General features: G+C 44.3%; 1 annotated feature.

Annotated features, from left to right (window-relative positions):
* Positions 359 to 1,103: an enhancer, noted in NCBI's record as "OCT4-NANOG-H3K27ac hESC enhancer chr15:94020239-94020983 (GRCh37/hg19 assembly coordinates)". NCBI's record gives its function as "activates a minimal SCP1, AML or CMV promoter by ChIP-STARR-seq in naive and primed H9 embryonic stem cells {active_cell/tissue: H9 hESC(naive and primed)}" and the evidence as "EXISTENCE:reporter gene assay evidence [ECO:0000049][PMID:30033119]".

Raw genomic sequence — 13,380 nt, forward strand, 5'->3', positions numbered from 1 at the left:
GGCGCACACCTGTAACCCCAGCTACTGGGGAGGCTGGGGCAGGAGAATCACTTGAACCTGGGAGGCAGAGGTTGCAGTGAGCCGGAGGTGGCAGTGAGCCAAGGTGGTTCTACTGCACTCCAGCATGGGTGACAGAGCAAGACGCCATCTCAAAAAAAAAAAAAAAAAAAAAAAAAAAGGAAAGAGATATGGTGTCTAAGGAAGATCAGTGAGTGGAAACCAGCCCCAGGAAAGCTACTCTCTTGAATAAAGAAAATGACTAAGGTAATAGTAATCTTTTTTCCACCTGGTTGCCTGGGCTGGGCATTTTGTCAATTGCTCCATCACTACCAGTGGGTTTGCTGGGCGTGGGGCCATGGAAGCAAGTTTTTTCTTTCTTTCCTACTGGTCATGGGAGTTTAGTCATTTTCACAGTCAATTGGAAAATAACAGTTGTAAAGGCATTTTGAAGAACACACGCTGGGGCGTTGGGCCACCTTTTCTTGGCTTGAAATTGAGGCAGAGGGGTCAGAATTAACAAAGAAAATCATGCAGCCTGGCTTTTATTCTTCAGCAAACATTTCCTGAGTGCCTGCTCTGTTCCAGGTGCTGGCTGGGTACTGGAGCCAATGCATGGTTGACTAAAGAGCATACAGTCCCTGCCCACATGGTACTTAGATCCATTGTTTAAGAAGCAAGCTTAGACCTGAGCCGTGTAGGAGAATAGCTCACATTCACAGAGGTGGGAAAGGACAATGTTTTAGTAATTTGAATGGCATTAGGCTGAGGAACAGACAGCAAAAGCAAGGCACAGGGGCGTGTTGGGGGGAATGGGGAGACAAAGGCCCCATCCCAAGTCTTTGAATGCTCTTCTGAATCCACACACTGCCACTGTTAGCCCCCCTGCAGTTAGGAACTTGCCGGATCTCCCATCAAAGGTGAATTCCGCAGGAAAGAGATGGGCTTTGAATAATAATGCCTGTGTTACTTTTGTTAATTCTTCCCTGAGCGTAAGTCCCAAAGGCTGGAGAAAAAGCAAATCTTTTTTCAGTGCATTTCATTTGAAAAGTAAATTTCATCCATTTGTTTCTAGATAGCTCTTGCCTCCGGCCTTGAACAAAATTAATTTTGGAAAATGAATTCCACTTGGCAACTATATATCTTGAAACAAGGGCCAGCCTTTAAAAATGTGTTGCAATGTGTACACTTGGAGGCATGAGAAGTAGATACTTGTAAGATCCGTGCAATCCTGGTTCAGTATTAGCTCCTTCTCTAAGGGCACCCATAGGGCCCGGTTCTCGGTGAGGGGCCTCCCTCTGCAGGTGGAGTATAAGCATGCAATTCCTGCTCCCAAGGAGGGGGCTTCTGCCATCTTGGGAGCTGTTGGGGGAAACTTTGGAGACCACCAGGAACCCCTAAAGCCCTTGAGAACTTTAAGAAGACATGATGCTGGGGTGGAGGGTTGTGGGGGTGAATGGGATCCACCCTCCTCTACAGGTCCTTGATTTTCCTTGGGCTGCTGTACTAAGGGTCTACTTTCTTCTCTCTTTCACCACACCCTACCCCCTTCCCCCCATACATTAATGCTTTCCAGTGACATGCTATGGCAAACCTAAAGACCTGCTTGATTTAGTCCTTTAAGCTAAAGAAATTCAGCCTTCCTAACCATAACTTTCTGTTTGGGAGTTAGAGAATCACAGAATATCACATTGCATGGAGCCTCAGACTGATGGAGAACTATTTTTCAGTATTAGAGCAGCTTTTCATTACCCATTCTATATATTAGAATGATGCGGGAAGGTGAAGAAAATCAGGGAACTAGTAAAACTGAGAAAGGAAAACAAGTTGATTTTTCATTAATTCGACAGTTGCGGAGACTCTATATGTAGGTCTGGCCCTGGACTAAGCACAGGCGTAAATAAGACTATTCCTGTCCTCAAGACCCTACCCATTTACCAGGGGAGAGAAACATCTAAGCAATTATAATACAGTGCCGCCCAGTATTGTCATGTTTGCCCAAGATGCAGGGGAACGTCCGGGGGAAGGGCAACAATAAACAGGGAAGAATTTGGAAAGGAGTTGGTGGTGGAGCTCAGTGGTATAAACCAGTAGGTGTTGGAAGCTGAGAGAGGAGTTTTAGGCAGGGCAGAGCAGAGACAATGTTTGAAGACAGGGAGAGCACAATACGTCCGGCAAAGTGCAATAGGAAGAGAGTATGTCTGGCGTGGAGGGTGTTACGGAGGTAGGGCAGGAGCAAGACAAAAATGTGGGTAGAGACAGACCAGGATAAGTCTTCTGGGAGCCTGGAGTTCTCTTTCAAGGGATGAGCAGCAGTCGGGGACCCATGGATTCAGGTTGGTATTTTAGAAAGAGCCTGCTGGTACCAGGGTGGAGGTGGATTGGAGGGTAGTGAGCCTGGAGGCGGGAATAAAGTGGAAAAGTCCAGTCTGGTCCCAGCATCCCAGGTGTGAGCCACGTGGCCTTCGGTAGGTCTGTTGCTATGACGTCAGGGGCATGCTGTAATCTGAGAGCACTTGATGGAATGCATTCTCTTACTTAAAGACTGGCTGGACCAATTATTTATTAACCATACAGGTGGCTTTTCTGTATACCTTGACTCTGACACTCACTCTTCCCAGCTCTCAAGTCCAGAGAAAACAAACTAGTTATTGAGACTGTTCCTGGCACTAGTGATATAGTTGTGAATGAAATGGACAAAAGTCCCTTCCCTTGAGGAGCTTCCATTCTACCGGCGAGACAGAACATAAACAATCGTACACATTAAATGACATTAAATGATAGGCAGCAATGAAGGCTCTGGTGAAAAATAAACATCGGGAAAGGGGCTTGCAATTTACAATAGGGAGCCAGTAAAGCCGCAATGAGGTGCTATTTTAACAAATTTGACCCCGGAGGGACCTTCACTTCAAGGGCTAAGTTGTTTAAAGGGAGGGCAAGTGTGGTCCAATTGTGCTTGCAGAGGATCTCTGGACCTTAATGGGGCCACGAGCTATGCTTGCTGTCCCTGGAGGGGGCAGCCAGGCTGACCACAGAAAATCTGTGATGGAAGGAGGGTCTAATAAACACTCTCTGTTTCTCAGCTTGGAGCTGATCTTAAATATTCAAAGCAACTCACCACTCCCTTCTCCTGTTGGCCCCCAGTTTATTTGCTGAAAAGAAAAAAAAGTTCAGCTCAGCTGTAGCATCTGTTTTCTAGTGAAGTCCTTGCTTCTTACTCAATTTTCCAGCTGGTTTGACTTATCAGTACACAAGCAGGTCACCTGACTGGCTCAGGGCCACACAGTGAGCAAAAGATTCCACCAAAACAGGAACCCAACCTTATTTTTATTATTATTTTTTTATATTGCACAGTTTCTGGGAGTTCCACAGTTGTGGCAGATGGGATGCTAATCACATTCACGGAAAATGTATGCAAGGAACTTCAGTGCAGAACTCTGCATCTGGCTCGAGGACTCTGTATGACTCGACTTCCCTAGTGGAAGGGGGAAAGCAGAGAAACACCCTCCTCCATCCATTAAAAGGCCATTTTGCACATGACTTGAAGACTCCCCAGTTGGAGGCCCTCGTTCCAGTGCAGCTGCATTTTGGGTTGCATCCTCTTCAAAGCCCACACCCCAAGGTGTGGCCTTGCCCAGTTAATTTATTTTTTCTTTCCCCACTTCCCTTCTTCTCATCCCTGTTCCTCCTGCCGCCGGGCAATTTCAAGTTCATAAGCAAGCTGCTACAGTGTTAGGGACTTTCTGGGTAGAAATGGCATGCGGTTGCTGGTGAAATCTTACCAGTATTTGCGGTGAGGTTGAGATTGACACAGGTTTAGAAAATATAAAAATCACCTATGGGCCCTCTCATTTGTGATTCTCCTTTTTGTTTGCAGTAACCTTTGGGTTAAGTCTTTCAAGCTAATCCATTCAGCTTCAGTCCTTTAACCCTTTGATGTTTGTTATCTATTTAAGCTACAAGAACCTTATCTTCAAATGAAGATTAATGTGAAAACAAACTGGTTGTGGCTTTCACAGAAGTTCCATTGGATCCAAAGCCCCTGCCCAACAGGCTTCTCCTGTCCCCTCTCCACACATCCCCTTTGTGACTCAGGGCCTGTGGAACCTTAGGCAAAGGTCTTTAACTCTCTGAGCCTCAGTGTTCTCATCTGTCATTTGGGCACAATTATATGCACCTCTTGGGGTGTTGGTGGGGATGAATGAAATGGTACATACCCAGTGACTTGCACACTGAATGGTCAATTAGTCTTTTCTTCTTGACTCATTCTGAGGTGGGTTCTAAGTGGCCATCTTGATTTTTTGTCAATACTACTGCTTAAGTGAATCCCTGGAGTCATAGTCTGAAACCCTAAGTATACCCTTCCCAATTCCCTACTTTACCAGACTAAGCCCTTCACTCAGGTAGTTCATTTCTTATTTTTATTATTTTCCCTGTCTTTCTAGGTACCCCCAGGGTTTCCTTCCTGGCTCCCTTCTCTAACCTCATTCAGTCACCAATGTAAAGTTTTCCTTTTTATTTTGAGAATGTCAAACATGTAAAGGTAGAATAGTCCAGAGTGAATATTACAGTGGACACTATATATCCATCAACTGGAATTAACAACTATTGACAGTATTAACATTCATTATCGTATATTCTTCATCTTTTTTTGCTAAAATATTTTAGAGCAAATCTAAACAATTATGAATTTCATTGATAGTTTTTCATGTACATATATATCACTAAAAAATAAGAACATCTTAAATATTCACAGTAACTTAATCATACTGTACAAAATAAAAACCCAAGAATTTATTAATGTCATCTACCACCCAGTCCATATTCAATGTCTTTTCATACATGGTTTGTTAGAATCAGAATCCGAATAAAGCCCATACGTTAGCTTTGGTTCTTTCAATCGCCAATTCCGCCCTTCCCCAGTTTATTCTGCCATGACAAGTCGTGATCACTGGGTTTATACTCTCCTCTTTTTTTTTTTTTTTAATTTTACTTTAAGTTTTAGGGTACATGTGCACAACGTGCAGGTTAGTTACATATGTATACATGCGCCATGTTGGTGTGCTGCACCCATTGACTCGTCATTTAACATTAGGTATTGGGAGGAGTCAAAAGGCAAGGTCAAAGGTTAAAGATCGTCTCTGTCTTGACAGGTATTTTGATGGCTCTCCATTGCGTATTTGTAAGTGTCTAAACCCTTCCATTTACACTTTAACACATCAACTTTTCATTCTTTTACAGAAGAGACACTTTGTTGCAGGGACTTTCTGAGGACCATGATGAGAAGAACTAAGATGGTGTATGTGCAATGCTTAACCCTACCCAGTACACAGAACATACTCAAAAAGTTTATGGATTCTTTTTTTTTTTTTTGAGACGGAGTCTCTCTCTGTCCCCCAGGCTGGAGTGCAGTGGCGCCATCTCGGCGCACTGCAAGCTCCGCGTCCTGGGTTCACGCCATTCTCCTGCCTCAGCCTCCCGAGTAGCTGGGACTACAGGCGCCCACCACCACGCCCGGCTAATTTTTTGTATTTTTAGTAGAGAGGGGGTTTCACCGTGTTAGCCAGGATGGTCTCGATCTCCTGACCTAGTGATCCACCGGCCTCAGCCTCCCAAAGTGCTGGGATTACAGGCATGAGCCACCACACCCGGCCAAGTTTATGGATTCTTAATTGGTAGTGATCATTATGATCATTGCATCTTAGAAAGCGGGTCTTTGGGTCAGCGGACTTACACTGGAAATCTGCATTTTCTCCTCGTCATCAAGCATGTTACTGAAGGAGCATCTCTGAGTCTCCCTTTCATCAGTGATGAAGTGAGAGTGATATGATCTCTTAGCACTTTGAGAAAGAGAGATGCTGTGGATAAAACACATATAGCATTACTGGACACAAAATAGGCCTTCAACAAATGGTAGTATATATACCACATACGTAAAATACATATCATCCATGACCACCCGTCTTATTTCTCTCTCTCTGTCTGTCCCTCCCTCCCTAGCTTTATCTTCCCTGTCTTTCAATTCCTGCTGCATGTGGATAGGACTCTAAATACATTTCAGTGTATACATGGTATAATGGAAAGAATCTTTGTTGAGTATTCTAGGTCTGAACTCATCTTTTAGTAGTAATCTACCCTCAGGCAATTCATGCTACTTGCTTGAGCGCAGTTTATTCACTTGTGAAACAGGAATAATTGTGTCTGTTCTGAGACCCTTACAAGGTGAGTGTGATGCTCACGTAGGTGCCACAGGGTGAGAGGGCTTTGAGACGGTGAAAGCGCCAACTGACAGGCTAAGTCCGAAGTACACTGAGAGGGCTTTAAAGAAACGAATACAAATTCCAATGACATGAAGTAATTCATAAGCATTGTCTTTTAAAAAAAATCATGTTCATCTTCTCTGGTTTACTTGGTTTTCTTTGCCATTGAATTATTCCACCAGGATTTGCTCTCTTTTGAGGATCAAGAGCCACAGAATGCTAAAGGGAGGCAGAGTCTCGGAGGTCCCCTGTGAAGTGGGAAATCACCTGGATGCAGTGGGGCCCTTCAAGTGCATCACCAAAAAAAACCATCCCAGAAGGTAGGGAACAGAAAGCCTCAAATACCAAATTAAGATGTTCTCATCAGACAGCTTAATAAACTAGTTTAAAACACACAGAAGTAAGGGGAAAGAGATGAAGACTAACACACCTGGGGTAGGGTACAGGCAGGGTTGAAAGGGCCAGACTCCAGTCTTGTATTACAGGGGTCCCCAACCCCCCAGCCATAGACTGGTACTGGTACCAGTCCGTGGCCTGTTTGGAACTGGGCCACACAGCAGGAGGTGAGTGGTGGGCGGACGAGCAAGCAAAGCTTCATCTGTATTTACAGCCAGTCCCCAGAGCTCACATGACCCCTGAGCTCCACCTCCTGTCAGATCAATGGTGGCATTAGGTTCTCATAGGAGCAGGAACCTATGATAATTGTGAACTGCACGTGTGAGGGATCTAGGCTGTGTGCTCCTTATGAGAATCTAATGCCTGATGATCTTCACCCTCTCCCATCACCCTTGGATTGGACTGTCTAGTTGCAAGAACACAAGCTCAGGGCTCCCACTGATTCTATATTATGGTGAGTTGTATAATTATTTCATTATATATTACAATACAATAATAATAGAAATAAAATGCACAATAAATGTAATGCGCTTGGATCATCCTGAAACTATCACCCTGCCACCCCAGTCCTTGGAAAAATTGTCAAATTGTCTTCCACGAAACCAGTCCGTGCTGCCAAAAAGGTTGAGGACCACTGCTGTGTTAGACGATATGTATAGCCCCCCACCCCCTTTCTCTGTGTCTGTCTCTCACTCTCACACTCTGACACTGGGGTTATGAAGAGGACAAGATTTAATAACAAGGGGGCCAACAGATGGAAGGTACCTGAGGCAGACACACGCATTTGTTTTTGTGAGCCATGGAGACAGGTGTGCTTGGTCCCAGCCGCAGCTTGCCAGTGAGCCGGCTGGCTTTTATCTGTGTTTCAGGCCAATGATCCTCAACCTTTTTGGCACCAGGGACCAGTTTCATGGAAGACAATTTTTCCATGAATCAAGGGTGGGGTAGGATTCAGTGCATTACATTTATTGTATACTTTATTTCTATTATTACATTTTAATATATAATGAAATAATTATACAACTCCTCATAATGTAGAATCAATGCCCTGAACTTGTTTTCCTGCAAATAGATAGTTCCTCTGGAGGTGATGGGAGACAGTGACAAATCATCAGGCATTAGATTCTCATAAGGCACACGCAACCTAGATTCCTCGCGTGCGCAGTTCACAGGAGGATTTGTGCTCCTATGAGAATCTAATGCTGCGGCTGATCTAACAGGAGACGGGGCTCAGGGGGTTAATGCTTGCTTGCTCACTGCTCACCTTCTGCTGTGGAGCCCAGTTCCTAACAGGCAGGAGCCCAGGAGTTGAGGACCCCTGTTTTAGCCAGAGGATAGGCAGAACCAAAATGGGTGTTCCCCATGAGTGGGCAATTTAAGTCCCAGTGAATTTTGAGTGCCTCAAGTATATTTAGTGTAACTTTTGATCCTTCCATCTTTCCCATCTTCCACCTGCACCCATGTGCTCAGCCTACCTCATCTTTGTGTAACTCACCTCACTCTACTTCATTTCTTCTATGATCATTGGCCTGTTTCTGTTATTTTCTAGAGATGCATCGAACATCTTTAAACAATAGAGCCAACATCTATCACAGCACATATTCCAGCACTCTCATGTGAAACAAGTGTGAACTGAGGACCTGAGTGCAGTGTGAGAGAAGCAAGCCTGGGACATAGCCCTTCTTACTCCTAGTTCAACACAATCCCCATGATCTTTTAACTTTCTTCCTGTTCTCAGGGTGAGATAAAGAGGAATAGAGACCTGGCTAAGCCATCTGAAACAAACAGACAAGCAACTCAGCACTACAATGGGACTTTTTGGATATATTTGGAGGCAAAGGAATATCAGTTCTTGTCAACCTTCATTTTGCAGACTGTGTGATGTAGCAGAAAAAAGCCAGAGAGATGTGGGTGGAAACCCCAGCCTTTCTATTTGGCGAAATAACTTGACCCTGGGAGAGTTCCTCCTTTTTTAGCCTACAAAATTAGTAGGAGAATAGAGTTATTATGAAAATTATACGAGAAAGAGTATGCAAAGTGCTAATCATTGAGACTGGCTTAAAGCTAGGACTCAAATAAATATGAGTTCTGCTATTTTTCCACATACCTCTTCTCACTTCTTCATTGTAAGCTTCAATTTGTCCCCAAGCCAATGGCATTCACTGTTCCCATTAGTCTCCTGCTAAAATTTTGACTCAAGGTGGTGACAGGGAGTGATGCTGTGTTTGGCCGTCCCACCTGACAATGAGAGGGACTGAATTATGGCGGGAACTCTTCGGCCAAGGGTTGCTTTCTGCTAGGTCTCTTCGGGGGATGCTTCATTCTAGAGGCCAAGAGCGCTTCAAAGAAGGACCAATAAATTGTGCTGGGGGCTGACAACCACACTGCCAAGGGCAGAGTTGCACATGGCAGGCCTTCTTCTTCCTTTAGAAGAACTCTCAACCCCTGGGGTAGAGTTTCCTGTAAGTGTGGGTGTTAAAATGGTTTGTTTTGGTGTTGTTTTTGATACATGCAACTCCTTCCAGAGGCTAAGACATGAAAAGTCCTGCCAGGAAATCATCACTGAGGAATAAATAATATCATAACCCTCTCCTGAAGCCCAACAGTTATTCTCCACACACTCATCCTCCAACACCCTGTCCCAGTTGCCAGCTCCAAACTTATAGAAGTCTCAGCAAACAGGCATGAGGCAGAAACATGTTCCAAAGCTGTCTTGGCTCAGCAGGGTCCACCCATGCTAGCTAGGATGGGGAGAATTCCAAGGTAAACAGGCTGCGTTATCACTCCAGACTTTCTTGGCAGGAACAAACCGGTTTCCAGCCCCAAAACATATTTTGTGTGGATAATGGACAACTAGTTACAGAGTAAACACATGAGGAGTTCGCAGGTGTTATGTTCCTTTGTGTTCGCCAACCAGATGTTCTTGTGTGGGACTGGCGTTTTCCGCCCCCTGGGTGTCCCATGCTGAACTGAAAGTCATTCTTTCTTCCCCCTCTCAATGACATCAAGAAGAATTCTCACAGGATATTTCCCAAAATGAGCTGTAGATTTCACTTGCAAACAAGATTAAACTGTTTCTGTCAATTTCTTTCTTTCTTTTTTCTTTTTTCCTCAATCTGGATTATTCCAAGTAGCATTAGTCAAAATAAACATGTAAATCTTGACCTTTAGAAAAGTAACTACTATAGCAGAGTTATAAAAGTTACCTTAGGGAACTCAGGCTGTGAAATTGATGCCCGTGTCCTCGTGCTCTGGGTTGGCACTGGGTGCTGTGGACGCCACCTGTGCATTGCTACAAATCAAGGCCAAAGGTGGAACATGCCAGTGCTATTTCCACCGCTCCTGGTCAAGGCATCTGGCATGCTGGGGCCATTTGAAGAGGTTTGGACAGTATGTTCTCCTTATGGCCTACTGTGCTATGGATCCATGGGTCAGTTTGGAGAAAGCTGAGTGCTTCTAGAATATCTGACAGATCGAAGTGGGGCAGTGAGGTGAATGAACTTGGGTTTAGGAAATGAAACTTCATCAAACTGTGTCTGAAGTCAATCTCATGTGTCATTAGCCTTGAAAGGTTCTACCTGGTTCTCGTTGAACAAGTCTTGGCCTGGGCCCTGAACTTGCTTGGCTGTAGCAAGGGAAGATTACACAAAACCTCTTTTGCTGTCACGCCTTATCACTCCTCGAGCAGAAAGGAGTTCCTCGTTTTTCCATGCCACCTTTCCCAACACAGGAGTAGCGCCGGGCCAGGTCTCCTCAGTCGCTGAGTCTTGGTGTCATCCAGGCTTCCTATGACACGCTCAGTGCAAGGCAACTTGAGCTGCTCAGGCAGCCTGCTGTGTAGGATCCTCTGGTCTTTCCCCAGTGATGATAAAAAGAGGTAGCCCTAAAATGTGTGAGACATTAAAGGTTGATTGTAGAAGATACACGCAGCATGGTTGGCTGCATAAGAAATTCAATGACGGCTGGGTACCGTGGCTCATGTTTGTAATCCCAGCACTTTGGGAGGCTGAGGTGGGCATATTACGAGGTCAAGAGATCGAGACCATCCTGGCCAACATGGTGAAACCCTGTCTCTACTGAAAATCCAAAAATTAGCTGGGCGTGGTGGTGTGCACCTGTATTCCCAGCTACTCGGGAGGCTGAGGTGGGAGAATCGCTTGAACCAGAGCCTCCCAAGGTGCACCAGAGGTTGCAGTGAGCCAAGTTTGCACCACTGGACTCTAGCCTGGCGACAGAGTAAAACTCCGTCTCAAAAAAAAAAAAAAAAAAAGAAAAGAAAAAGAAATTCAATGACACATGTGCTATGTGCTTCTCAAAACACTACAGTTATAAGATCTTATTTGATCCTAATTAATAATACCTTATGCTACTGTAAGTGCTTGTGGTTTATAAAACACTCTGGCTTACTTTATTTAACTCTCAGCACAAATTTGTGAGGCAGGTGGAATTAGGCTCGCTTTACTGGTGAATTACCTTGGTCTCTGGGAGTTTATGTGATTTACCCAAAGTCATTTGCCAGTCAGTGGCAAAGTCCAACTCAAACTTCAGCCTCTTAACTCCAAATCCAGGGCTTTTCCCAGCAGGTTGGGAGTTCAGTGGAGTAGGTGCCACTGTTCACGTTTTGTAGATGAGAACGTTAAGCAGGGATTACATAACTTGCCAACAAAAAGTAATTTGTGATAGAATCTAAGAAATAATGCACATTTCCTGACTTCTAATCTGGTGCTCTTGCCGCCTCTCTGGGAAGCTTTTGGGGGGGATAAGTGAAGGTGGGAGAGATTTTGTGATCATTGGAAAAGAAATCTAATATAGAAATCCTATCCTAAAGGACATCACAAATTTGCAGAATGCATATCATCGTAATGTATAAAATATATTAGTGGTTAAAAAAAAACTCTGCTCATCCACTCCATTTATGGAATTTATTGCCTAACTGTCTTTTTATACCATGGCAGTGTTTGTGTGTGAAATGTGTCTAACTTGTGGAAGCTATAATTTTGTATTCAAGACATGATGGGTAATTATATATAGGAGTTGCACTTGAATTTCCCATCTACTGACAAAAATGATGGAATCAGCCACAGCATTGTGATTTCCTTTCAGTGAAATGCATTTGCTTTCCTTTTCAATTAGTTTTATGGACAAGATTCAAAGATTGCTCTAGACTGAGAGAAAGTGGTGACTGGAATTAGCTTTGTCACATGCGGAAGGACTGGCATTGCTTCCTATCAGTGCACATTCAGGCAGGAACACACATCTGGGGGAGAATGCAGACACTCCACATGGCAGTTCTGGTTGGCGGGATGTTGGCTGTTAGGTTCGTCTGGCCCACATCCAAGTGGGCTTACTGAGTGAGGCACAGAAGGCGACTCTCCAGGGCACTTTACTTCTAACGAGTGGACCTCTCCCCTAGGCCAGGTCAAGAGGCACTGCTGTGGGGATTCTCTGATGCCATGCACTTATTGTATTGCCTGGCCTCCTCTCAACTTTACCAGCAAGCTCTTATATGTCTATTTCCATGACAATTGTACTTCAAGGGCCTAACATGGTGGCTGACATCAAGCAGAGACTGATGTAAAGCTACTGAATAAATGCATGGAAGAATGACAGGCAAATCTTAGGATAGGGCATTATAGTGATGCCTTGTGTGTCCCCATAAGCTCAACATTTCAATCTACTCAAAATTCAGCCCAACTTGGAGGATGGCAGCTTTTCTTTCTGTAAGTAAAATCAGGTAGCCATTTGACTGTTGACAGACTTGTTCTTGGGCAAGTTACTTAAATTTCCTGGGCTTCACCAGATAGAATAGGGGTGAAGGTGTCTGATAGCAGCCCCGTCGTTGAAATGAATCAAGTCTAAGCACCTTGGGAGAGCTGCCAAGATCTTCCTGTTGGTGCCCACCTTTGTGGTAAGCTCTCAATGACACACAACTTACTCCTTGCTGCCTGCTGGACATGCCATGCCCTCTTTTCCATCTGCAGTGTATGTCTTGCTCTCCCTGGGGCATGCCCTTCCTCTGTTCTCTTTGCCTGGGAAACTTCTTCACATATTTGGTGACTCGGATCGAATGCTACTCTTTTTTTTTCTTCTCTCAAAAAATCCTTCCTCACTGCTGCTTGTACCTGCTTTAGCATTTTGTTTATGTAAACGTTATTATATTGATCACTGTATTAGTCCATTTTCATGCTGCTGATAAAGACATATCGGAGACTGGGAAGAAAAAGAAGTTTAATTGGACTTACAGGTCCACATGGTTGGGGAGGCCTCAGACTCATGGCAGGGGGTGAAAGGCACTTCTTACATGGCAGTGGCAAGAGAAAAATAAGGAAGAAGCAAAAGCGGAAACCCCTGATAAACCCATCAGATCTTGTGAGATTTACTCACTACCATGAGAATAGCATGGGAAAGACCGGCCCCCTTGATTCAGTTACCTCCCCTTAGGTCCCTCCCATAATATGTGGCAATTCTGGGAGATACAATTCAAGTTGTGATTTGGGTGGGGACACAGCCAAGCCATATCAATCACCTTTAACTGGCATTACTGGAAATTCTTGACTGGCTCTTTTAAAGGGTAGATGCTGTATTCTATTAATTTTGGTATCCTCTAAGCCTAGTAAAATGCCTGGTATAGATTAAATGCTTAAATCTTTGTAAGATAAGTAAATGACTGTCTGAATGAATGAGAGAGAAATAGAAGTAGGACGACTATCACATTTTTAATTTTTCA

This window comes from Homo sapiens, chromosome 15, assembly GCF_000001405.40.
Source record: "Homo sapiens chromosome 15, GRCh38.p14 Primary Assembly".
Lineage (NCBI taxonomy): Eukaryota > Metazoa > Chordata > Mammalia > Primates > Hominidae > Homo > Homo sapiens.